General features: G+C 46.9%; 1 protein-coding gene and 1 long non-coding RNA gene across 4 annotated transcripts in view, besides 2 other annotated features; one reads left to right on the top strand and one right to left on the bottom strand.

The window, feature by feature from the left end:
• The window catches only part of DTX4 (deltex E3 ubiquitin ligase 4), a 37,159-nt gene that overhangs the window by 8,359 nt on the left and 2,253 nt on the right, over positions 1-26,547 (bottom strand). For both annotated transcript variants that reach the window (NM_001300727.2, NM_015177.2), the window contains exons 2-8: positions 17,768-18,491; positions 11,434-11,495; positions 10,907-11,068; positions 9,055-9,116; positions 7,980-8,132; positions 4,861-5,022; positions 457-546 (exon numbers count right to left, since the gene is read on the bottom strand). In NM_001300727.2, coding sequence (NP_001287656.1) covers positions 457-546; positions 4,861-5,022; positions 7,980-8,132; positions 9,055-9,116; positions 10,907-11,068; positions 11,434-11,495; positions 17,768-18,384 — 1,308 coding nt within the window. In that variant the 5' untranslated portion in view covers positions 18,385-18,491. The remainder of the gene's footprint in view (positions 1-456; positions 547-4,860; positions 5,023-7,979; positions 8,133-9,054; positions 9,117-10,906; positions 11,069-11,433; positions 11,496-17,767; positions 18,492-26,547) is intronic.
• LOC124902675 (uncharacterized) lies at positions 8,128-26,531 on the top strand. Of its 2 annotated transcripts, XR_007062682.1 has the most exons (4): positions 8,128-10,583; positions 13,349-13,540; positions 20,411-20,598; positions 25,733-26,531. It is a non-coding gene; the product is annotated as an uncharacterized LOC124902675 (long non-coding RNA). The 2 variants fall into 2 exon arrangements; XR_007062681.1 differs by lacking the exon at positions 25,733-26,531 and having other exon boundaries at positions 20,411-22,394.
• Positions 13,706-13,795: a silencer, noted in NCBI's record as "silent region_3363". NCBI's record gives its function as "represses an Ori minimal core promoter by ATAC-STARR-seq in GM12878 lymphoblastoid cells {active_cell/tissue: GM12878}" and the evidence as "EXISTENCE:reporter gene assay evidence [ECO:0000049][PMID:35858748]".
• Positions 25,265-25,334: a silencer, noted in NCBI's record as "silent region_3362". NCBI's record gives its function as "represses an Ori minimal core promoter by ATAC-STARR-seq in GM12878 lymphoblastoid cells {active_cell/tissue: GM12878}" and the evidence as "EXISTENCE:reporter gene assay evidence [ECO:0000049][PMID:35858748]".

Genomic DNA, 26,547 nt, shown 5'->3' with positions numbered 1-26,547 from the left:
TTCTCATGGTAGTGAATAAGTGTCACAAGATCTGATGGTTTTATAAGGGGTTTCCCCTTTCACTTGGCTCTCATTCTTTCTTGACTGCCACCATATAAGAGTTGCCTTTCATCTTCTGCCATGATTGTGGGGACTTCCCAGCCACGTGGAACTGAGAGTCAATTAAACCTCTTTCCTTCATAAATTACCCAGTTTCATTTATGTCTTTATTAGCAGCGTGAGAACAGGCTAATACACAAACTAAATGTCCACTCCCACCCACCTAATTCTAATCGTAGCCACCCCACCTATGGTTGACTCAAATTTGACCTTGTTACTGTGTGCATCTAGACTTAAAAGAGACACAGTTCTCTTTGGTCTGTGCATTGTAAGAAGCAAAACTTTAGGCCTTGACATAGAAGTAAACTGCCCGATCTATTCTAAAACCTAGTTCTATGTGGAAACTTCCGGTCTTACTTTTCTCCCTTTCTCGCTGTCCGGAAGGTAACAGTGTCGTGGGAAGCCTCGGGCGCTGAAACTCTTCCCAGGATTCGGGTGTTCCGGTCCCTGAAAGCAGAAAGCAAGCAAGCAAATGGCATTTTTCAAAATATTTCTGATAAGAGCGGGGTTAGGCTGTGACTAATTTCAATAATAATGACAATAATAATTCCCATAAAGCTTCAACAGAGAACAGACCCAAAAAGCACTGTGAGTGGTCATTTAGCACGTGTTTCTGTGTCCTTAGACCTGGGTTTGGATGCAGAGCTGCTACCTCCCACTGCATTAGCTGGAACCCTCTCTTGGGGCTTTTGTTCCCCATCTCTCTAACAGGAATGACGCAGAGTCCTTCCCTTATGGGGCTGTTATAAATGTTAAGTGAGTGGTGCCTGATGAGTAGTAAGAGCTCAGTAAATGTTTAACATCATTGTCCATCATCTTCATCATCTATTGTCTTACAAAAGAAGAAATCTGCAGTGCAGAGAAGATATGTGGCTTCTGTAATATTAGTGGCTCTGCTAAAATTGAAGCCCAGGTTTCCTGAGGCACACTCTGGATTTTTAACTACTCAGAATAAAGAAAGTGCCTCCAAGCTATGAGCCATGCCAACAGAATTTTCTGAATGATTCTTGTGGATTTTCTCCTTTGTCCTCATGGGTTTTTGTTTGTTTTCTTCTTTAACAATAGGAATTGGGATAGTCAGGACTAAAAATCTTCTAACAGCATTTCAACTATTGCCACCCAATACCCTATTAAGTAGGCAGTCTCAGGCCACTTGGTGAGAAAAAAACTGAAGCACAATTGAGTGAGAACAGGTTTCCTAATCAGTGCCCAGAATGAGTCCACAGGCCTCTTTGAGAAGCTCATGAAAAGCGGCAAATTTTCTCCCGGTAACAATGACCAAATCCCCTCCTCCCCATACAAAGGTTTGTCTATAATTTCTGAGGATCCCTGACCCCCTGAGGGATGGAACCCTCTTTAAAAACCCCTTCTAGATTCAACCAGTATAAAACTGATACTTCCATGCAGCTCTTGGCACAAGTTCTCACGTAGATGATCAGCAAATACATCCTGCCTGAATAAATGAACGAGTGTGGAAGAACAAATGAATGAAAAAACTGCAAGAAAAAAACCCAGATTTTTCTTTTTCTCTTATTATGGACCATGGTTCCAAAATGATAAGAAATTCTGTGGCTTTCCATTTTCTTAAATAGTTAACATGATTCAAGATCACCTATGGTTTGACATGGTAAATGCAATGGGGTCTCAGAGAAGGGAGCAGTCACCGTGAGCTGAAAGAAGCAACAACGCCTTCTCGGAGATGCAGAATCCAACATTTATGAATTTGACATTTACAGGAAATCACTACAAATTTACAACCTTCCCATGGCCCCAGCTGTTTCTAAATCAAGTTGCCTGACTGAAAGGCCAGTTCTAACCACGGCTCTGACTGCTCCTGATCTGCCTTCGACTGCCGCTTGTGTGGCCAACTCAGACGCCTGCCTGGCACTGACCCAACACGGCTGTGCCCTCCCAGCTCGTTGCTAAGTGGAGCAGTCACGACTCTGCCTCAGCCCAACCCAGAGTTTCTCCCCAAGGGAATAGTTCTCTGCAGTGAATGCAGAGCTTGAAGGTCTCGACTCCTCACAGAAGCGCATGCCTGTGTGGTCCCTGGAAACTTGAATGACATGGCACTGAGTGTCCTGCTACTTACACTCAGGGATGAATGTAGATCCTAACAGTGGAGAGCTGCATTTCCCTTGATACGAGCTTGGGTTTTTCAGGAGGAGCCACCGTGGTACCCGTCAAGGCAGCATGCACCACCTGTATCCCCTAGTGTGGGCTCTCTGCTCTTTAATCCTGGAGGAAATGGTAGCCCCACGTTTGTCTTTGCAAGCTTCAGTCTGTTCTACTGCTCACCAGAACATCGTCTGTTTCTCCCAAGTCCTGTTTTTTCATTCATGTCTGTATCACCTTGACTCATTGCCTCTGAGACACTCCAGAAGTCTCACCTGACCCCATATCCAACCATATCTCTCTCTTCCTTATCCCGGCCTTCCCTTGTTCGAGCCCCATTCCTAAGGCCTGGACTGTGGCAGTGGCCTTTTAATTGGTCTTCTTTCCTCTGGCCATCCCCGACTCTTTTGCCTGACTAGCCTTCCTAGAGCATAATTCCATTCACACAATGGTCCATATTCCTAACTGCACATCCAATAACTGATGATTAAAATCCACGACCCCCGCCCTGGTACTCAATGCCTTCTATGATCTGGCTGCAACCTCCCTCACGGCCTAGTCTTCTCCCTCCATCTCCTTCATGCTTCCTCCCTCTACTTCCTTGCGAGTCTTGAGCCCCAAATTAAACCCTTCCTTCTTGCCCTTTGATACTCAAATTTTTCCTCTACAACCCTCTTACCTCCTCCCACTAAAAATGTTCTCCTCCATTTTTTTATGTCTTTCTAGACTCAACTAGACAATTCCCTGCACTAGAAAGTCTCCTCTAACCCTTCCAGACAGACAGACAGATATAAGCCCTCCTCTTTACCATGACAAGCAGGACCTAAAATGATGTTGACGACCAGGTATTGAGCACCTTGGTACTGTGCTCATTCTTCAATATGCATAGGCAAACGTTATTTCCCATTCTCACCAAACCTCTGCCAATTGGGCTCCTGGCTGGGCAGGTGAAGAAATCAGGCTCCAAAAGGTCAAGGGCCTGTTGTCTAAAACAGCTGTCCCCAACCATTTTGGCCCCAGGGACTGGTTTTGTGCAAGACAACTTTTCAATGGACCGGGGTGGTGGGGGATGGTTTTGGGATGATGCAAGAGCATTACATTTATTGCACACTTTCTTTCTATTGTTATTACATTGCAATATATAACAAAATAATTACACAACTCACCATAATGAAGAATCAGTGAGATACCTGAACTTGTTTCCCTGCAACTAGATGGCCTCATCTGGGCATGATGGGAGACAGTGACAGATCATCAGGCATTAGATTCTCATAAGGAGTGCACGACCTAGATCCGTCACATGCACAGTTCACAATAGAGTTTGTGTTCCTATGAGAATCTAAGGCTGCCACTTATCTGGCAGGAGGCAGAGCACAGGTGGTATTACTGGCTCACCCATCACTCACCTCCTACTGTGCGGCCCCTTCTGTGGCCTGAGGGTTGGGAACCCCTGGGCTGAAGGCACCAGCTAATAAAGACTCAGCTAGGAAGGGGAACCCAGGTCCATTGGACTTTGAAGGCCTGTGTTCTCACTTTGTCTACGTTGCATCTCAGAGGTTTTATTAGTGATGTACATTTATCTTCCCCTGACTGGCTGGTAAGCCCCTCCAGGAAGAACTATGAATTATTCACTTCTTTTACAGGCTATCACAACTTCCTGTTTTATTTCCTCCACATCGATGATCACTATCTGGAGGTACCTTGTTTATTCATTTGTTTCCTTTATGGCCTTCCTGGCCCCACTAGAATAGGGGCTTCAAGGAGCAAGGATTGCGTCTACTTTGCTCATTGCTTCTCCAATGTCTAGAACATGTCTGGACCATAATCCACACTCCATGTTTGTTAAATAAAAGACAAAATGGAAGAAGAAAACTAGGAGGGAGGAAAAGAGGATAGAAGAATTAATATTTGCTAAAGAAATGCATACAGTCAACGGCCCAGAACACTCAGAAAAAGCTTCATTGTGTGAAGGAAGGTGCCACATTTGTATTTACTGGCAGGAATAGTGTTCAGATTTGTTCTTCAGGACTGTCTTTCAGAGAATCAAAAGAGGAAAGAAATGCCCACCAAAATCAAAGCCAAGTATAGCTATCAAATTACAAGTGCAAATACCGTTTGACAAAGAAATTCCACTTCTGGAAAATTATTCTACAGATATATTCACATGTGTACAAGGTTATTCATTCCAGCATTATTTGTTGTAGCCAAAGATTGGCAACAATCCATATGCCCATCAAATGGAGACTGCTGAATGCAAATAGTGGTACATTTATACAATGGATGATTACACAGACACAAGAACGAGGAAGCTCTCTCTATACTGATGTGGAAAGATCTACAGACTACATTGTTAACTGAAAAGCGCAGGGTGCCAAACAATGTGCCTAAATGTCACTGTTTGTGAAAAAAAAAAGGGAAGGGTGGATGCGATTTTCTGTTGTGTGTGCACAAAGAATCCTGGAAGGATACATAGGAAAGTCAGAACAATAGTGTTGAGTCGGGGGATGTAGTGTCAGCGGGCAAGGCTGGGTAGATGGCGGAAAAGTGTGGGAAGGAGACTCTTCATATGTAACTTTTTACCTACAAACACATAGAACAATAAAAACCAAGGGGTGACAGAAAGGCTCACCTGAGAGAAAGGCTCACCTGAATGCCGGGGGGGATGCTGTAGATGATCCGGATGGTTTTGCAGTCTGGGTGGCCAGGCAAGGAGTGGGGGATGAGGTGGTACTCCATCTTCCCTGGAGGTTGGGTGCCTGTCTTCACCCCATAAATGGTCTTGCAGGTTGGACACTGCAAACTTCCATCCTGAGGGGCCAAGGCCAGAAGAGCCAGATTGGGAAACAGTTTTGGTAATAACTTTCCCACCCAGTCCCAAAAGGTACCAGAGATGAAGGGCCAGGGGAACAAAATGCACCCTGGTGAGTGATAGATCTTAGTTTTTCCCTCCCAGCCCAGTCACCTAGGCTATTTCTGCTTTCTCCAAAGTAATAGGAGGTAAATTCCACAACTGGTCCCATGCTCCATGCTGAGGGATATGTAAGAGAAGCCCCTGTCCCTGAGGAGGGGACCAGCTCTCTAGGGCAGGAGCCTACACAGGGAGTCATTATTCAGCCACTCAGTACCAAATGGGTGGAACAGACAGAAAGACCTGGAGAGCAGCAACTGCCCAGTTCCTGAGCATCAGAATCACCCACAGAGCTTGTTAATCACACAGATGCCTGGGCACCACATCGGGTCCACTGAGTAAGAACTGGGAAGCTGCAAAGCATAATGTTTCAGGCTGTGAATGTGAAAATCAGACTGCCTAGACGTAATTCTTAGCTCTGCCATCTGACTGCTGTGTGACCTTGGACAAATTAATTAACTTCTCTGAGTCTCAGTTTCCCTTATAGGAGAAGGATAAAAAATATCTGTCTCATCGGGTTGTTGGGAGAATTAAATGAGATAATCTATAGGAAGATCTTAGCATGTGGTGTATCTAAATGTTATTAGCATTTTTATAATTTCCATGGAAAGACTGATGCTCATACAGGTTTGGAAACTACTGCTATGAAAAGAGAAATTGGCCACTAAGAGCTGGAGTAAATGAGGATAACTTTAAGAAAATGGTCCTTGAAGAATAGCTATGAATTTGCTTAGAAGGATAGAGTGTAAGGTCTGCACAAATACCTAGAAGAGAGAATGATGCCAGTAATTATAGTGCTTTAAATCATACTATAAAGAGTTTAATATTTCTTGTTTCATTTAGGCTTTAGCTTCTGACAATGGCCTGGAAGAAATTATTAGCCCCTTTTTGTAGAGAGGAAAATCGAGGCACAGCAAGATTAAAGGACTTCCTGCTTGTCAGGGTGTGGGGTCTGTTTAAACCCCCAGCTTTGCATTGCAACTCGGTGGCTCCATTAGTGGGAAGAGGCAGTTCTGGATGCAGGGGTGTACAGGGTGACGGTTTCACTGCAGGACCTGGTGAGGTGCTGCCTGGAGGAGGGCCTGGACACCGAATCCTATTCCCAGGCTCGCAAAAAGGAGGGGCAAAGAGAAGGAAGGCGCATGGGCTGGGAGCAACGTGTGTAAAATGTGCTGCTGCGCAGCTGGGATGAAAGCTTGCCAGGACATCCCCAACTCCTCGGGAAGACAGGGATCCTCTGCTGAGCTATTTAGGGACTTCTCCAGTCTACTCGCTTAAAGCAATAGCTCGTATTCAGGGTGACTATTCTCTGAAACCAGGTTCCCACTTTCTGCTTTGGCCTTGACTTGCTTCATGACCTAGGGTGAATCACTCCTTTCTTCTTGGGCCCTTTTCTCTCATGTGTTTGATAAAATAAAAACACATGCTTCAAAGTATTAGTGCAAAAGAGAATAAAGCATAGACTCTTGAGAAACATTTTTGAAAGCCCCATGGAAATAAATGTAGAGTTACCATATTCTTCTTGAATATAGACATCAAATAGGGAACAAATGTGCTAAGAAACCCCTTTAAGCCCAAAATAACTTCTTGAAATGCAAGATCCCAATGAATCCTTTTAGCCCAGGGTTGGGAAAGTGAGCAAGTGATCCAGATTTGCATCCCCCATCAATGACTGACCACCACTATAAGCATGTCTCTCAGGGACACCAAGAAAGCACTTTGGGAACTTCAATCAAATAGGCTACATGAAGATGAAGGAAAAAATTACAGCCTTTAATACAAAGGCGATATCAATTTGAATAATAATAGCATAAGACCCCATAAAGTAGGTATAGTTTTAATCTCCATTTTCCAGATGGAAAGTCTCTCTCAGAGATTGGAAAACCTTGTCCAAGGTCATTCAGCTAATAAGCCAGGATTCAAGCTCAGGTCTCCCACCTCTCTTACCTCTACTTCTTTCCCACAGTAAGAGACGTATAGACCAGACCAGACAGACGTATAATCCAGACATACTTCTTGCTTAGTGAGAGGTTGGGAGCTATCAGGGAGATCTCAGACTCTGATGTAATCTAAGCTTGGCCTGGAGAAATAAGTACTCATGGAAATAGGGAGTAAAAGTTATCTCAGGTACACGAAAGAACATGAGTCAATGACTTAGGAAATGCTCAGACACTGTAAGGAGAGAATGATCACCTATGGAGTCTTCCAGATTCCAAAGAACCAGCTCTAATGAGGGGATACCATTGCATTGTCAGATAATAGACAAGACAAGCATCCCAAACAGCCTTCCCCTCTTCCAACAGTGGGATTCTAGGGCAGGGATTACCAGGTGTACTTTGGCAACAGTCTTTAGTACCTTTGAAGGGCCAATCAAGGGTGTTTTGAAATTGTCCAAAGAAAATTGTAGCTGAAAATCACTAACCCTGGGGAAGAAAGGGTGATTGGGAAACCCATTTACAATGGTATGAACGAATACTCACCATGGGTCTAGCGCTGTGATAAGAACTTCCTTCTCTCTCACTGATGGGAGCACACTTCACCTAGCAATGGGCCATGACAATGGGCCACTCCCCTCAGAACCCTCAGGGGCAAAACCTACCCCACTCTTAGACCTGACACCGAAGATGGAGAATTAGATAGCACAGCCCAAAAGGGAAGGTGAAGACAGGTCTTACCAGCACTGTAATTTAGTAAAGAACTGATCCTGCTGAGAACAGCCAAGATCATCACTCTTGCCTAGGGATAACCTCTAAGACTTCCCAGATCACTTGAGCAAGGGCCCTAAAGGGCCTTCACCATCTTGCTACTCCAGAGCCCAGTGTGAAGGGTGGCAGGAGCCCCATAGGCTGGCACTGACCTTGTTCCCATTGTTGTACATGGCAACCAAGCAGTAGATGTGGTAGACGTGGCCGCATCTGGACAGCTTCCCTACCAGGTCAGGTTTTACCGTAGGCTGCGGGCCCTTGTAGCCTGAGGGGGCCGTGAGGCGTTCCATACAGATGGTGCAGTCCTGGGGAGGGAGGAGACACAGCAGAGAGGCTGTCAGCTCTCACTCAGCCTGGGAGATTTCCACATGATCTCAGAGGTCAGATGAGCTCTTACCACTTCTCTTCTAAAACACCCACAAATCAGGGTGTAAGTGCTTTCTGGAATCTAAATATCGTTTTGTCTTTACACAACAACGTCCTGAAATAATTCCTGGTACTGATTAACTTGGGCTCATCATCTAAATTATCATAATCGTGAGGGCTATAACAATGCACTGTCCTTCTGTTTTGTCCTTCAACGGCTTATGGAGGAAACAAATACTGTCAACAAGCCCACTGAGGAGCTTTACTTAAGGTGAATTTTTAAGGAATGTAAAGGAATTGTATTTTAACTGTACCAGAGGGACGGCTATTTAAATAAATGTCCAACAGGGTTTCTAAACCTCAGAACTATTTACATTTTGGGGAGGACAATTCTTTGCTGTGAGGACTGTCCTGGGCATTGTAGGGTGGTTAGCACCATCCCTGGCCTCTGCTCTACTCACAAGGTCCTGAGAATAATGACGACCAAAAATGTCTCCAGACATGGCCAAATGTTCCCTCAGGGGCCAAATTGTCTCTGGTTGAGAACCACTGTTCTGTATCAAACCCATTTTAAGGTGAGTTCTTGTGGCTTATCACACTGTTTTTCCTAAATTGAGACTGTCATGTTAAGGTAGCTTAAAAACAACCAGCACTATGCTGAAGGGGGAGGCGGGAGAGATTGAGGTGCAGCTGCAGCTCTGGACCATGGACCTTGAACCCTCAGTGTCAGTTCTGACCAGTTCTGTATCCATGAGAACTTGGAATGCAGCCCCCGCCATATCCTGTAGAAACCAACAGCAGAAGAGGAAATGCTTGTGGGTGATGGAGAGGTGAATCCCGCTCTTCTAACCCTGAACTCACCTCATCTGGTGGGTGCCGGACTTTCTGTAGATATTTTTTTAGCACTTCCTCTGGGGTTTTACCTGCAGAGACAGGAGGTTCAGTGGGCCACCAAGGCAGAGGTAAGAGATCAAACAGCCTTGTCGTGCTAGACATGGTAGAGGGGGACGTTATCAGGCAAGTTAAAAGCAAAAAGGGGAGGAATTCCTTCTGCAATTTAAGTTAAGAACATGGAAGAGAGTATGGATTGTGGAAAAGCTAGTGAGATGGTTTGACGAGAAGGCTTTATTTCTTGCAGTCCCTTTTCTGACATCTCTCTGCCTATTTTCAACAAACCACTTTTTTAATTGAGAAGAGTTGAGTGGGTTTCTCTTCCTTATAATCAAATGATTTGATAACAGCACTTTGCAAACTGTTACACGTTAAATAGATGTTAGGCAGTCTTACCACCTTCATTTTACAATTTGCTAAGTGTAGTCTCAATTTATAATGTGGTGTCAAAGTGTGATTATTTTTATGGGAAACAAGGAAGTTATGACCCACGACTCCAGAACAATCTTTCCTGGCTGTGGATGGCACTGTCACTGCCAGCCAGCACAGTCCTGCAGCAGGGGAAGGGTGATCCTCTGGGAAGCATCCTGATGGGCTGCAATGATTTAGGGATTTTTTTCAGGGGACTGGACTCTTAAAAGGTAGCCCAACCTGAAGGTAGAGGATGGGATGATATAACCTGAAAAATGATCAGTGCTACCTTGGGCCACTCCCTTAATTTCTCTAAGCTTCTGTTTTCTCACCTATGAAATGGGGATGAGCAATAGCACTACCTCAAAGGGTTGCTTTGACAATTGAATGAGCAAATGGATGTACTGCCCTTTAGCTCTCTGCCAGATAAGGGCCCGATATGCACTATTAATAATAACAGGAAGAGTGGGAAAGTGTAAAATGCTGTTATTTCCGATAAGACTATGAGCAAGGCAATTGAGCTCATTTAAGCAGGGAAATCTTGACGGACTGGAAAAGTAGGACAAGGGTTTGAGGAAGTGGATCATGCAACAGCCAAAAGCTTCGATGCAGGCCCTTTCCTCCAGTTGCCCTGCTTCTCTTGTAAGAATTAAGCTCTAGTAATTAAGAGCCTATTTCTTGCCAGGCCCTGGGCTAAGTGCAACACACACATGATCCAATTTAAACTTCACAAGCCTGCAAGATTGGGGCTTAGGGAGATGGTCAAATTTAACAACTAATGCCAGTGACCAGAAAGACAAGCCACAGAGCTAAGCTGGGGTCCTGCAGTGCTAGGAAGGTACAGATATTGACCCCTTATTTGCCGGATTGCCTGCAGGTAGGAGGGGGTTCCTAAAGGAGGATTTCAGAGCAGAGATTTCTGTAGGTTCTAGGGGGACACAGGACAGGGACTACTTCCTAACTGTCATGGATGCATTCCAGGATATACCTGCTGGATACCAGTTATACCAGTTGTGACTATTTTTACTTCATTATAAAGATGAGAAAATAGGGGCTCCATGTGGTCACACAACTTGCAAGAAACAAAGGTACGATTTGAATCCAGTCTGTTTTGGTTCCAATGCCAAAGTCATCTTTCTCTTCTAACATATTTTCTTTGTACCACGCCTTATATTTTTATGTTTCTATACTTTTGCATTGTATATTTTTATTTCTCAAGGTGTTTCCATCTGATCCATACACATCAGCTGTGGTATAATCGTCAAGATTTACTGGTTAGGCCCACTTACAGATGCAGAAATTGAGGCACAGAGGGTGAAGCCGTGGCTATGACCCTTGGAGGTTGAGGCAGACTCAGGGCTGACAGCCAAGTCTTTGACTCTCAGTACCCCACGAGACAAGAGGCTGGTACCTTTCTTGGCTTGTTTTTTGGTGGTCTTGCGGCTTGTGTTGGAAACCCCTGGGATGGATTTTATTTCACTCTTGCTGACGGGGGGTGGGTGTAGGACCAGCTTTGGTGGCCTGGTGAGACACACAGGCAGCCCCGCTGCACTCATGAGGATCCCAGTGATTCCTGGAAGGGGCAGGGCATGGGTGAGGAAAGACTGGAGACTTAGCTCTCAACATTCCCCAAATTCCTCTTTCCCCATTAACCTACTCTCCTCCTTTCCAGCAGAAAGTTCTCATAATTCCTGGATTCTCTACCCTGTACTTTCCCCAGAAACTTATTCATTCACTCACTTATCTTCAATTGCATGCTTTCCTTTTAGTAATCAGTTCTCTTCCAAACTCTTCATACCCTTCCCATGCAATTCCTAAAATCACCATTTGCTTTCATTAATATCTAGATTCTCTCCTTTTTTTCCACAAATGCTCATGACCTATTTCATCACTCTGATTTCTCTACCTTAACCCAGAGCATCCTGGGGTTTCTCTTACCTGCCAAGGCAGGGTTGACAGGACTGGACCCATTTAGGTTCTTCACTGGGACTGTGGGGACCCTGTGAAAGGAAAGAGCAGATACAATGTCATTTTGACACGTGGAACAAAATGGACCAGTATTTAATTCTAATAAAATGCAGTTAAGTGCTTAACACAGCAGACAGCAGGAAGTGACATCTTCAAAACCTAAGTCAGGCCATGTCATGCCACCACTCAGAACCTCAGAACTATGTTCCTCAGTTCACTCAGAGTCAAAGTTAAAGTCCTAGCAAGGCCTACAGAGCCCAGCACGATCTGCCAACACTGCCACCCAGCTTCTCTTATTCATCTTGCTTCCTCTCATATCACTCAGCTCTCAAGGAGCCAGGTGCACTCCTGCCTCAGAGCCTTTGCATATGCTGTTCCCTGTACCCAAAATGCCCTTCCACCAGACAACTGCTTAGTTTCCTCCTACAACTCCTTCAGTCCTGGCTTAAATCCTACCTATCAGGTGAGGTTCCTGAGACCATAGTATTGAATATTGCTACCCACCCCTCCATCCCACGCCAGGACTCCTGCTCTACTTAGGATCCTTTAAAAGAAATTATTGCTTATTATGCCCCCTTCTAGAATCTAGGCTCTACAAAGGGCAAAATATCTTTGTCTGTTTTGTTCAGAGCCAGGCACTAGTAGGCATTCAATTGATATTTGTTGAAGGATGAAAAAACAAAGAAGCAAGTTCAAACCAGGGTGTACAAAAGAGTCACCTAAGATGTTTTTAGAAGGACAAGGTCCCAGATCCAGACCAGAATATCCACCTGTGGAGCACGAGAAGCTGCATTTCCCAAAGCTCCTGAGAAGCTGCAGATGTAGCAATCCCCAGCCTAACATTTGGAACCACTGCTAGAACAGCTGTCACTTCTCCTTTTCCCTGAGACATATATAAATATTAGGCAAAGCCTCCTCCCCTTTCTGTCCTTCTCCCCAGCAACTCCAGCCAGGCTGGAGAGGAGATGGCACAGCTGCCTGGGAAAGGCGCGGCCCTCCCACAGCGCTGACTTGGAAAATATGGGACACATGGGTCTGGGTCTTGCGCCATCCTCTCTGTCACCCACACTCCTGCAGCTGGGCTTGGAGAGGCTAATGGACCCGGTCACAGATGACTCCAGGAGGCAGACAGCCTGCAAAGCCAACAGCTCTGCTGTGGGGGCAGGATGGTGCTGGGAAAGCAAGAGGAGGAAAAAAAGAATATTTATGTATTGATTTATCCATCCAAAAAGTGTTTATTGAGCCCTACTTTGTGTTGTTTGCTATTCCCGATGCTGGGGGTCAGCAGTGAACACATGGCTCATGGCCCTTCTTCACTCACATGTTACAGTTACCAACATGCACAGAGCTCACCTCCCCCCAACAGTGGCTCCAACTGCTCACAGCATATAAACCTGTCTGATCCTTCCAACATCCTATGCAAGAGGTGCAGTCATTAACACCATTTTAGAGACAACTACATTGAGGCACAGAGAGGTTAAGGAAACTTGGTAAGATCACACAGCTAAGCCAGAAAATCTGGCACCAGAGCCCATTTACTATGCCAGGCTCTTGTGTTTACGTAATCCTTATAACATCCCACACTGCAAACATAGACCAGAAACTCAGAGAGCGTAATGAATAAACCCACCACTAGGAATGGGGAAAGCTGCAACGGGACCTCCATGCCAAGCAGTGGGGTCTGTCTCTGCCCCTCATGCCTGTAAGGAAGGTTCTTCCCCAGCTCTAACCTACTTTGAGCCTGCCTGGGGCTCTGTCCCTTCCCAGGGATGATGACATGTGCACCAATGCTGGGAGATGGATGTGAAAGAACAGATGTGGGAATGGGAATGTTTGTGTCTCACCAGGCCACCCAAAGCCGCTTTTCTTCTGAAACTGTCCCCAGGATAAATCAAACCAGGATGGGAGGATGGAGGAGAAAGCTGAATACAAAACAAGGGCCACTGGGCCAAGAAAAGAAGAATGGACTTGTTTCTGGACTCTGTGACCTGCTCCCCAGGGCCAGGCATGGTATGGTGGATGGGCAGTCAGGAAAATCAGGTGCAAGTCCCATCCCTGCCAGGAGTTTCTCGCTAAGGTAGTTAACTTTTCTGAGCCTCAATTTCCCCATCTGTAAAACTGTGAGGGTCTTGGGTTAGAAGACGCTACGGAAACTGGCTGACAACTTCCCACCAATATCTGAGAAAAAAATGGCCACCCAAGCCCTGAGTCCTCCACTTATGGCCGATTCTCCTCGCCCAGCTCTTTCTGGAGAGGTTTGGGGAAAAGACCCGGCTTCCTGTGTCCTGCTCCCAGCTCCCCAGCAGGGGGCAGCACTCAGAACCCAGACCTGCACCTACCTTCTCCCTCGCCATCTTCAGAGCCCCCACTCCAGCTGATAAGTAGCTGTGATCTGGGTGACAAAAGCCACCTTTGTTCCCATAAACTGGACTGGCAGGTTTCCACACCCAATCTGGCCAACCAGGAAATAATCCAATCCCCAGAACACCACACATTTCAGGCAGCTCAAGAACTCAGGGGCAAGATGTGGAGAGAGGGAGGGAAGGGCCCGCATGTGGACCTGGGACACACAAGAAGACTATGGGTTCAACAGGTGGGAGAGATACATGTCCCTGCCACTTGAGGAGAGGAATGACATGGCGGGTAGGCTTGTCACTGGGCTCTGGGAAGGAGGGGTCTGGGGAGAAGGGGTATATTTGCTTGTGAAATCCAGAACCGTGTAATGGAAGGAGCTCTGCACTGGAGTCAGGGAGTCTTTGTTTTAGCCCCGCTCAGCACTGACCTGCTTTGCCTTTGGGAGAGCCGCACAGCCTCTCTGCGTTCTGTTGACCATATCTAAGTTACCACAGCCGTGAACAGGGCATCCTAAATGTCTGCCCCATGGGGTCCCTGTGAGGATTTAGGAACTAGGTCAACTAACTGTAAACAGCTGAGCCCTGTGCAAGTTTGGGTGACTGTTTATGCTTTTACCTCCCAAGTATAAAAGGGGCATTGGGCTGAATAAAGACGTTTTCTGCTCTAATATTCCAATTTTCTGATTCTCGAGGTCATGGGTATCCAGCATAAAGTTGAGTGCTGGGCAGTACTTGAGACGGTTGATCTCACCTCCCCCACTATTACTGGTTAAACCTTGGAGAACAGCCCATGAAGTCCCAGCTGGTCACACCCTTTTGGGGCCTCAGCTTCAAAAGCCTGAGCTCTCCTAGAAAACTGCAACCCAATGGCAGGCATGCATCTCACATCCTTCAGGCAACTCCATCAGCCAAAACTGTCTGTCCTAACCACTGCTTGGCCAATCATAAGACACCCCCTGCCCCCATTCAGTTGGCCTGTTCCCTGATATGGAGGGTCTTTTGTTTCTGTCGCTAAAACATAAAACTAAGACAAGAGAAGAGAGCTGGCAAGGTGGCAGAGAAAGGAGTTTTGAGGGAGGGAGTATATCTCTGCAGTCACCATGATGAGAAGCAGTGTTTTTCTCGGAGTTATGCACCAGTCCAGGAATCCTCCAGCAGGACAAGGATCTTGTCTCTACGGCAACTGAGGCCTAGCTGGAGACAGAGAATCCTCAGCTCTAGAGGAGGGGGCTAGAGGGGTGACGCTTGCCTCCACTGCACAGCCCCCTTCTTGCTTCCCTTTAGAAAACCCCTGCTTCTGTCTCTGAATAATTCACAGGATCTTTTGTTCCTGCCCCCAAACCTTTCTCTTCATCCCACTCCTCCCGCCCTCCCTGGTCTTCCTTTTTCCGTGGGAAAGTTGCTGGAAGAGGTCATGGGCAGAGAGAGGAGGGGGAAAGGGGCCCTGCAATGACAGAAGGTCGATGGCAATGCCAGACAAAGGGAATAAACACGCTAATTAAATGGCCAAGAAAGGCTGGAGGAGAAGATGGGATTGGGGGTGAGGGAGGTGGTAAGAGGTGAAAAGCAAAGGGCTGGAAGATCGAGAGGAGTAGGCAGGGGCCTCCCTCATCAGGAAAACAGAGTAGAGAGAAAAAAAAGAAAACAACTTGTTTCTATAGCCCTTTTGAAACTGTACTGCTCAGACCTCCACCCATTCTCTAGCCCCAATTCTATGAGCGGGCAGAGGAAATAAAGAAGATAGATAAAGCTGCTGACTCCACTCCCTCATCGAGATTCAAAGCCACCTGGGTGCCTCTCCCTCAGTGATGGAAATGAAGTCACTTGGCATTTGTCAAGGGCACCAGAGACAAGGTGGGATGTCAGACCCTACTCAGCTTTGACTTCCCCTACATGGACACCTGTTAACAATAATAACAGCAATCACAATGACAGCAGCCTATACTGACTGAACTCTTATGTGTCAAGCACTGTGCTAAGTCTATACACTTAGTATGTCATTTGAACTTAAGACAACTGTAAAAGGAAGTTACTATTACTATCCCATCTTACAGATGAGGAAACTGAAGACAGAGGATGCAAATCTTGCCCCAACTGACACAGCAAGGCACTTGGGTTCAAGCCCAGACAGTCCTAGTTTCTGGAGGACGGGTTCTTACCCAGCACAGGAGCCTCCCTCCTCCATGCTAGCAATCACCCTGGAACTCTGTTAGAGGCCCCCAGGATGGTGCTGTGTGAAATCGGGGAGAAATTAAGCAGCAGCAAGGTTTAGCCATCCATTCTCTGCTCCCAAATACTTCTGCCATCTCAGGGGAAGTCATGAAAATCTCATGCATCTCACCAGCATTTTGCCTGTTATAAACTGCCTTTGTGTACAATGAGGAGCTGGGCTTTAGCCAAAAGAACAGTGGATCAGGAGGCCAAAACCTGGGTTCCAACCCCTATTGCATAACACATGAGCTCTGTTTCTCCTTGGGAAATCAATTCTGAGCAGGATGTCTGTGCTTAACACTTAGATCACAGAGTAAGAGAATGCACTGCCAAGAGGCCAACTCCCTTAGTGGAGGTTTTCACGATAACTCCATGCAGTAGGTAAGGCCACTGGATCTTGCAAAGATTCTGTGGCTCACCCCAGTGACAGAGGTAGGAGTAGGGGCTGGGCCTCTGGATTTCCAACTCGGCACTCTTCCCACTCTGTGGTGTACCCTCCTTCATTCCTCCTCCCAGTGCCAAACCTCTGTGTGCAGGGACCCAGCTGAGTACCAAAACCACCTTCTTAGAGCAGCCTGGACTTTCAGACTTAGGCACCCAATGCAATTGAAAACCATCCGGATCAGCTGGGATCAGGGGCCACAGGCAGAGCCAGGCCTCTCTGGAGACAGAAAGGGAAGATTGGGTGGCTGTGAGATGCTAAGAAACCAGGGGCTGGCAGGCAAAGGTTGCAGCCACCATATGGATCTGGGTCACTTCGATTTTATGATCAGGAAAATCAAGAACATAAAAACCAATACAAACAGGACCTACAGCATCAACAGGTTGTCACAGAAATAACTGAGACAATGTATGGAAAGTGCCTGGCACATAATAAGTCATCACTAAAAATAGGCCGGTATTCCAATTTGGAGTCACCTCTCTGGCTTCCAGAGAGACTACGGGAAAGAAACTCTCATTTTGCACCTACTGAATGCTGGGCATTGTGGTAGGTACTTGGTAGAAGAGGAGCACAGCAGAGTCAGAATCTGGGCTCTAGTGTCAGATGTCCTAAAGTCTGAATCCCATTCTCTGCCAATGATTAGCTATGTACCCTTGAACAAGCGAACATCTACTGTCTTCATCTGTAAATGGGGATAATGCCTACTTGCCTACTTCATAGAGTTGTTGCAAGGATTAAATGAGATGTAAAGCCCCAAACTACAATATAGTGGGAGTTCAATTAATGTTATTAATGTTGCCTATTATTGCTTAGTAGGCACAATCTCATTCTGTCACCCAAGCTGGAGTGTAGTGGTACAATAATAGCTCACTGCAGCCTTGACCTCCTGGGCTCAAGAGATCCTCCAGCATCAGCCTCCCAAAGTGCTGGGATTACAGGTATGAACCACCACGCCTGGCCACAATCTTCTTTAAGCCTCACAGCCACCCTAACAGGCGTATTACTGCCAGCATTTACAGATGAGAAAGTTAGGACTCCATGACGTTAGGGATCTGGTCCTAAATCATATGGCTAGGAAGAGCCAAAGTCTCAACCAGAGTCCAGATCAGAGGCCAAGCATCAAACCCTCCCTTATCCACCACACCTGCAGCCAGGTGCACCACCTTCACCTGCAGCCAGGGGTCAGCACAAGATGAGAAGCTTAAGTCTTGGCAGCCCCTCCTTCTGATCCAGAAGATCTGCTGTAGCCTATCTCTACCCTGAGTAAATGCTCTGAGGCAGCTGTGGAAGCACTTACCCAGAGGCGATCAGCACCCGGGACTGGGCAATGGCCAGTCGCTGCAGGTTGGTACGATTCAAGGTGGCCAGGGCCACCCTTCCGGTCTTGCTGTTGGGTCCTGGGGGACTGGCAGGAGAGCCCATGGTTGTCCCAGTGGGCATGCTGGAGGCTTGTCTCCGGATCACCTGCGATGGGGCGGTCTTCAGTGGGCCTCGAATGGTGCCTGTGCTGTCCAGTGGCTTGGCCCCAGAGCCTGGCAGTGGGGGTAGCTTGACCACTCCAGGAGGCGGCATGTTCTTGCGGGTCACTGGCAGCTGTAGGGGCCCAGTGCTGCCATTGACCACGGCTGCCTTAACACTCATCACCAAGACACACTGGGGACAGGAGCAGGGGGACATGGGGGGCGAGGTGGCTGGCCCAGGGCTGACTGGCCAGGACTGAGCCTTAGGCAAGGTCCCTGTGACCATGGGGTAGATGAGGTCGAGGCGCCGGCGGACGCGGCGTTGGCGCTGGGTCTGACGGTTGATCTGGCCCATGGTGTTGAAGTCAATTACGTAGCTAAAGCCAATGGAAGTGAGGTCGATCCAGGGGTGCTGCTTCTCATAGGCATGCTGGATGGTGATGCCCACTTCCATGTCGTAGGGCGTCCAGGAGCCATTGTCGTTCTCCCACTCCCACACCACGCCCTTCCCAGGGGCCGAGGAGGGGTCGTAGTAGTTGCGGCGAACTGGGCGGAGAGTTCCTGCCAGGGTGGGATAGGGGAGAGGTCAGAGTCAGCATGCAATTACACTGAGTGGCAAGACATTAACAAGTCATGCCATTGCCATAATGGCAAACATGAAACAAGTCCTACTGTGTACTGGGCATGACACTGCCTGAAGTGCCAGCTTTGAATGAAACTCATTTCTCCCTTTAAGATGTCTATAGTCCAACCAGGGTAGAAGCAGATGAGTTACAGCATGAAGGATATGGGTGGCAGTATAAGGTAAGGTAGCAGAAAGACTGCCTCCTGCTTTGCAGTCGGGACATCTTGGTTTGCAGACAAATTCATTCCATTTACTAGCTAATATAGAACCTCTCAGCCTCCCTTTCCCTCCTGGGAAACAGGATAACTCCTTCCTAGAGTTTTTGTACAAACTAAATATGACTCACTTATTTATTCAGCAAATATGTATTTGTACATGCGAGGTTCTGGATTTCATGTGAACCCTATGAATGCACTAAGGCATGTAAAGCCCTTGACACACAGTAGGTGCTCATAATGATCATATTCCTTCTCCTCTGTTCCTCTAAATGCTCTTGTGCCAAGAGTCATGAGGAAAAGAATACAGGGCTGTGGAAGCCTAGAGGACTGAGGGAAGACTCTGCCTGCATGCGGGAAGGCTGCCCAGAAGTGGCTGTGAGGGAGCTGGATCTCTATACATTTATAAATGCTGTCCAAAAAAAAAATGGTGTGTTACTATGAGAAGAAGGGAAATCAGGTTGGGAGAACTCTCTCATATTTCCCAACATTAAATCTTATATCAGTAGCAAAAGTAACATTCTCAATGGTCATGAGAATAATTTTATATTTATCTGATGTCTTTCTTTAAGAAGCTAAAACCCTCCTAAAGGTAGGATTGTCTTAATTTTCAGAGTCTCACTTTGGGGCCGGGAAGAGGTCAGGGTTATTACAGGGTAATGGTACAGCAGATATGAACTGGCAGGACTGTAAGGGAACTGAACCTGTAACTGTTGCCTCTTTCTCCCTCACTCAAAACCTGAATCCTGACTCATCCTCAACCAGGGCTCATTTCATGGTGTCAACATTAAGGCTAAAGATGTCTAGCTCAGGGCAGGGTGGGGAGGTCGGGGAGGGCCCCTGGGATGCTGGAATCTCTGCATCTGTCAGCTTAAGCTCTATCCATCAAAGTGGTGAGAAAAGGCTGCCTTCACCAGCCTCTGACCCACCCCTCCTCCAACCCAGAGGGATACACCAAGACTGGGGACAGAATCCCATTCAAGGGGGGAAGAAAAGAAACAATGGCTATTCAGGCCTTTGCCAGGGTCATAACCTGCCCCCCACCCCATCTCCAAGCTCCTTAATGACCCAAAACATCAACATTCAGAGACACAAGGGAGAAGCAGAACAATCCCCTATTCATCACCATGGCCTCTGCTGGGGAACATGGGGGTATCAGGATGGTGGGGGCAGGGGAGGGGGAGACAATAGTTCCCTGGTTTGCCTCCATTTCCTTCCTAAGTGCGCAGCTTGCTGGGGAACAAAGAGTATGGGCTTTGGGGCCAATAGGGGTGGTTTTGTCCCTTCCAGCTGTGTGATTAAGCCTCAGTTTCCTCATCTGTTTGGGTCCTGGGTAGTGACTTCAAAGGGTGGATTTGAGGATTAAATGAAGAAATGAATGTAAAACTCAAAAATAGCACCTGTCACCATGGCAAGAGCTCAATGAAAATTGGTGATTATTTTTGTAATTTATTTTCTATTATATGTCTAAGCAGGATGGAGAAACCATGGAGAAGGTTTAGCTCAGGGTGTGTGAGGGTGTGTGTGTGTGTGTGTGTCTGTGTGTGTATGTGTGTAGGGTGGTAGGGGGTGTAAGAAAGAGAGAGAGAAAAAGTTTCTATATAACTGACACAGGATTTTCTTCTCGGTCACTTTTCAAGCCAGGGACCTCTGGCTGGCAACACCCTGCCTGGGCCTCACTCGGCCACACAACCTGCTGCAGGAGATGGCAAGAGATGACTCGCCCACTCTGCCCACCTGGGCCAAGTTTGGCTGCACACCAGTTCCTAAGTTCTTGTCCCACACCCAAGAAGAATGAGGATATGCTGACAATCGAAGAGTGAACAAGGTGGGGAGTTTTATTGAGTGATGAAACAGCTTTCAGCAGAGAGGGGACCCAGGGGTGGTGCCCCTACCGAAAAGTGGGAAAGTCCCTGCAATGTGGCTGAGTCTGGGGCTTTTATAAGCTCAGAATAGGGGAGGGGCAGGCTGTAGGTAGTACTGGAAAAGGCAACATTTGATTGGTTAAAAGGCATTATTCAGAAAGAATCAATTGGGAAAGGGTACAAAAACAGGAACAGAAGTTCTCACTCTGGGTTGCGGGTTTTATCTTGGACCAGCAGTCCAGTCTTTCAGCCTTCAGGCTGTTTTTGGCTTGAAAGTGAGGTTTCACTGGGGACCTGCCCCTATCTGCCTAGTCATTTGGCTGCCTTCTGCTGCTCTCAAATTGGTATTTGCACAATCTTTATTACTTACAAAGCACCTCACATATCCCACGTAAATTTCATAGCAATCCTAGAAATACCTTTCACAAATGAGGAAATTAAGTTTAGAGAGTTTAAATGGCACTATTTTATATTCTCTCCAGGGTGGCAGGGACTGTGCAATTAACCCCCTCACAGATTTGCCTAAAAGACTTTTTTTTTTTTTTTAAACACAATACTGTTATCAATCCTGGAGATGCCTGAGAGTTGTCCCAGAACTTCTGGAAACTATGCCATGGATCTATAATATACCTTTCTAGGTTTGTCTTCCTCAGTCTCTGTGTTTTCTTCTATTCCTGCCTGACAGAGGCCCCTTTTATCCTCATGCATTCCCCCAGAGTTCCCTGACTCCCTTCCCCACAATTCGCTAGGTCCCTTCTACTGAAATGGCCTCTTTTGCCATTTTTACCTATTGAAATTCTCCTTACCATTCAGGTCTCAAGCCATTTTCCATCCATTTCTTAAAATGTTCTCCCAGCCCAGGCCCCACCCTCAGGAAGCCTGAGCTGTGTAGCTTGACTATGCTGATGTGCACCAATGTTTCAGCAACATTTTTCATACCATCCTGCCTTAAGTGGGTGCAGGAATGCCACTGTGGAGCTCTTTGCATTCTTAGTGCCTAATGCAGTGTCTGGCAGTTGCAAGGGCTCCAGAAACTGCTGTGACTGATTGAAGACTTCTGGCTACTTTAATATTTAATCATTTATCACATATCCCTGAGCACTCATTAACTGCTATGGGGAATGCAGATTCAAGCATTCCTCAATTAGCTTTCAGTCTGAAACAGGGTTAGAAGACAAGTGTGTGAATGACTATTTATGAGGCAGAACGTATCACAAGGAGAATGCCAACAAAATGCATGTTGGCAGGAAAATTGACCATGTCCCTTCCCTGCGTAAATCCCTTCCATGACTTCCCATTAGGTTGAAATCTAAATCCCCCCTACCCACCAACATACATGGCCCCCTCATAGCCTAACTGCCCACATTTCAGCTACACTGGCCTTCAATCTCTCCTCATTGCCAGGCTTCTCTGATTCTGGGCCTCTTCACAATGCTGGTTCCTCCCCAAAACTCTGGCATCTTTTCCATAGCTCTTCCCACAGGAAGAGCTTATTTCTTCAAGGAGGCCCCCTGGGCAGTCCTGGCCAGGTGAAATTCTTGTTCCTTTTAAAAAAATTTTAATAGCATTCATCTCAATGTGCAGTTACATATGTATTTGTGTGGCTAATTTGATGAATATCTGTCCCCTTCACTAGAGAGTGAGTACCATGAGAGTGGGCATCAAGGTATGTGCTCATGGCTGTATTCTCTATGCCTGCATGTCCTAGGCACTCCAAAATATTGATTCAATAAATGAAGTAATGATGGTTTGGAAAGCATTTCAAGGTGTGGAGAATGTTTTAAGAAATGAATAACAAATGGCATGGACTCGTATAACAAAAAGAATTTTGAGAGGTAAAAATGGCAAAGGACAGTGTTTCAGAAGAAGGGACCTCAAGGCTAGCTGGGGGGGTGAAGGGTGTCAGAGAACTCTAAAGGAATGCATGAGGATAGAGGTAGCCTCTGTTTGGCAGATTGGAGGGAAATATAAGGCATAGAAGAAGACAATCCTGGAAAGATATGTTAGAGCCAGAGAGGGTATGGAAGGTCTGAAATGTCAGACTATGATAGATTTAATTTGTAATCAATGAAGAGCCAGTGAAGTTTGTTAAGAAAAGAGGGGCAAGACCAGAGCCACTCTGTCCATTAGTTCCAGGTGAGTGGAGAGGTGTTGGCATAGAAAATGAAAAGAAGGTGACAAACTGGAGAGACCTTACAGAGAAAAAAATGGGTAAGACTTGATCATGAGTAGCTGAATGCTTTCCAAGTGAGGTTTGAGGATCGCCTCCGTCAGAATCTCCTGGGGTATGAATTGAATCAGCAGTGCCCTTGAGACCTACAGGCCAGCATCTCCAGGGCCTGGGCATGGGAATCTGCATGTGAATGGCCACCTTGAGTGGTGCATGGGTACACTCAAATTTCAGCTGTTGGGCTACAGGGTCTATGTGCCTGTACCTATTAGGTGCCCAAATAAGATTCTAAATGACAGAATGAGTCAAAGAATCCTGGGTTTGGACCATGGGAAAGTGGTAAAATGGTGTCAGAGGGATGTCAAGAGGAAGAGCTGGTTTTGGAGGGAAAGTTGTTGAGTTCAATTCAACGCTACAGAGAGTCAGAGATAGCATGCAGACCTCAGAACCAAAGTGTTGAGACAATAGACATGGTGGGATTTTACTCGCTGATTATTTTCAGAGACCACCCTATTTTGGATGTGCTAGTTCTCGACTTTTCTAGAATCAGTATTATAAACCAGATAATCTGTGAAGTAACCCAAGGAAAGGGGCTCCAGTAGGATAGGGATTGAGGATGTTCATAAACTAAGGATGAAGAAGGAGAAAGAAAATCAGTTTTTTACAGATTTTCCACCTGCGTTACAAAGCACCCAAAACCTTTCAGCTTCTGGGAAGTGGAAGGCCATGCCTTCCAGGCATGCACTGAGGTCTCTGGGGCATGTTACACACATCTATGTAAGTGACTCACTGCCGTTAGGGCATGCGCTAGGTCCAAGAAATCCCAGGCCGCTCTTACCAGCATCCCCCACGCCCACCAGAATTTTCCGTAAGGACAAAGAAATATTTGGATGCTCTATTATTGCTATATCTCACATGTCTGGAACAGTGACTGCGCTAAATAGTTGCTCCATAACTATTTACTGAATGTAGAAATAGGACATAGGGCACCTAATTCAGAATCTCGGCCCTGCCATTGACTAGCTGTAAACCCTTGAGCAACTTAATCACTTTCAATTTGTTTCCTTACTTATAAAATGGGGATAATAATAGGTTCTTCATAAGATTGTTGTGAGGATTAAACAAGATAGTGTGTGCAAGGTGCTTGCCATGATGCAGACACATGGTGCATCCTGCACATTGTAATTATCATGTGGTCATCATGATGCCTGCCTCCTCCACTTCTATGCTAACATAGGGTAGAGGGTTTTGTGGCGGGGCTAAAACTCAGCTTCTGTCAAATCATTTAATTCAGCCCATGCTCTTTCTCTCCATCTGACACTTCTCACCACTTTAAAAGACATAAAGAAGGCAAAACCTGCACAGAAAACTCAGAGCTGGAAAGAACGCTCCTTTACCCTGTGCTTATCAGTATCATCACTGGCACAGGGGCCAACCCATTCACCTGTTGATCTGCATGATGGGAGGAAAGAAAAAGAGGGAAAGAAGAAATCTTAAGCCTGCTCTTCATTCTAAAAAAAAAAAAAAAAATGAGGCCTGACCATTTAGAGACTTGGTCAAGGTCACGGAGTAAACAGTGAGCCTGGAATGAGAGCCACAGTTGTTTGTCTCCACTCTCAGCCTGGATCTTCCGCATCCTGCTACTGAAAACCTGGAGTTGGTAGGGTCAGGCATGCTGAAAGGTACAGGGGAAAGTGATGCTGAAGTAAAGCTCTTCAGTCACTGCCCTACAACAGAAAAAGGACAACCCAGTCAAGGTAAATGATGGCAGGTGGAGAGGGGCCCACCGAGGCTTTTGGAAGTGGCCAAGAGCCAGTCCCATCTATCTCACCCCATCTCTACCCTTATTCCAGATTCTCTAGCCCAAAATGCCTAGAGAAGACTGGCATAGAATGCAAATAAGATCAGACCTCTAGGCAGTCTGGGGAAGGAGAAGGGCCCAGGGCAAACAGAGGCGGGCAGACGGGTGTCTGGGACCTCCCAGCCATCTCCCTGGAGACAGGCTGGATGAGGTCAGGAGCCCAGGCGAGTGGAGAGCCTGAGGACTCTATCAGCAGCAGAGCAAGCAACTTCTAAAAAGACAAAGCTCTCATGTCAGGAAATGTCCCCATACAGAGGAGGCAACAAAAAAGGAGAGGAATCGCCTCTGGGCAGGGGACTTCCAGATCTCTTTTGTTTATGGGGATGTTTCTGGTTCCCAGCTTTGAATTATGGCTTAAGGATGGTGGGTAATTTAATTAAACATTGCAAGGGCTTAGCTGAGGTTGCCTGGGAGCCACTGGTTTAAAGTTCCTACCCTGTCATGGCCTCATCAATGAGATTGAGAGGAACTATGAGTGTGTTGGTGGAGAAGGGAGAGGAGGGGGCTCAGAGCTAAGAAACCCAGAGATTCTTCTATTCTTCTTTGACAAGCGCCCTGACAGACCCAGCTTTTCTGGGAATTCAGCCCAGTGTCCGCAGCACCCAGCACAGGGCCTGGCGCACAGCAGAGAGGTATTCAGGATGGCTGACTGACTCTAGCAATGAGCGGATGAAACCACAGCAGTCTGATGATAAACACACCCTGAGGCAGCCTTTAAAATGATTCAGGGCAAGTTCTCTGCCTGAGGTTTAAAGTCCAGGGAGCGCCAGCCTCTGACTAAATTGCTCACCACCAGGCAGTCCTCAGGTAAGAGTGATCAGACCTGGGAAACGTAGCTTCTTTCCTTCCACCCAGTTTTCTCTACAACTTCGCTTCTGTAGAAAGGGTCATGAACCTTTGTAGATACCTTGCCTATCCTAAGTACCCCCAAACACAGATTCCACCTTTGCCCTTTCCAAATGTGGGAAAGGGGCTGAGACGTTTCTGTCACAAGGGTGGTTTTCCAAATGCTGTAGAGATTTACTCTGAAATAGAAAAGGTAACACCTGCTTTTTTTTTTTTCCAGGACTGGAATCCCCTGTCAGATGCTTTAACTGCTGGTCTCTCTCTCTCTCTCTGGTCCCACCTCCGTGGCTCAGCTCCGCCCAACACACACCCCCTCCACCCTCACCTTCTGATGCCTCCACCCTCACCTCCACAACCTTTACCCAAGTTGCGCAATGACATTCTCTCCCTCCCCCTCAGCCACACTTAATCCTCTTTCTCAATCTCCCCACATTCCTCTCTATTCTCTGCTCCTCCCAGTCTCCCTCAGCTCCACACACGGTTGAAGCCCCTCCAGATTCTAACACTTCCAGAATCCTCTCCCCAGAAAGCTCTCCTCAATCAGCCAGTGTCTGCAGAGTCCTTGGCAAAGGGGTTGCTGGGAGTTATGACTAAAGATGGGGACATGAGGGTGGAAAGATACCCCTTTCCCATGACAATCCTAATTAGCACACAGGATGTGGGGGCTTTCCAAGGAAGCAGAGAGACTCTGCTCAAACAGCTGTTCACTGGGGAGGGCCTTTCCGAGTCATCTTCTCTACGTCCTCCCCAGCACACCGGCCTCTCCAGGCTCCTCGGTTGCACTCTTGGGAAAGCCGAGCCAGAATTCCAGAAACAATGGCCCCCTCCCCACCTGTCACTGACGGAGGCAGAAACTCTTCCCGGGTCATCGATTAAGCAAGGACCGAGCAAAGAGAGGCAGTTTTGCTCTCCCTTGGGCAGCACCCCCACTCCCCACCCCCCAAGGCCCCATCCTGGAGGCTCCCTTCCTGGCTCTGACCTGGAAAGGCAGGTCAGCTGGGAAGCGGGTTTGTGCTGGCTACAGTGACAACTTGA

This window comes from Homo sapiens, chromosome 11 (assembly GCF_000001405.40).
Source record: "Homo sapiens chromosome 11, GRCh38.p14 Primary Assembly".
Lineage (NCBI taxonomy): Eukaryota > Metazoa > Chordata > Mammalia > Primates > Hominidae > Homo > Homo sapiens.
Note: the sequence above shows the minus strand (reverse complement) of the source record. Positions and strands in the feature narration are given on the sequence as shown.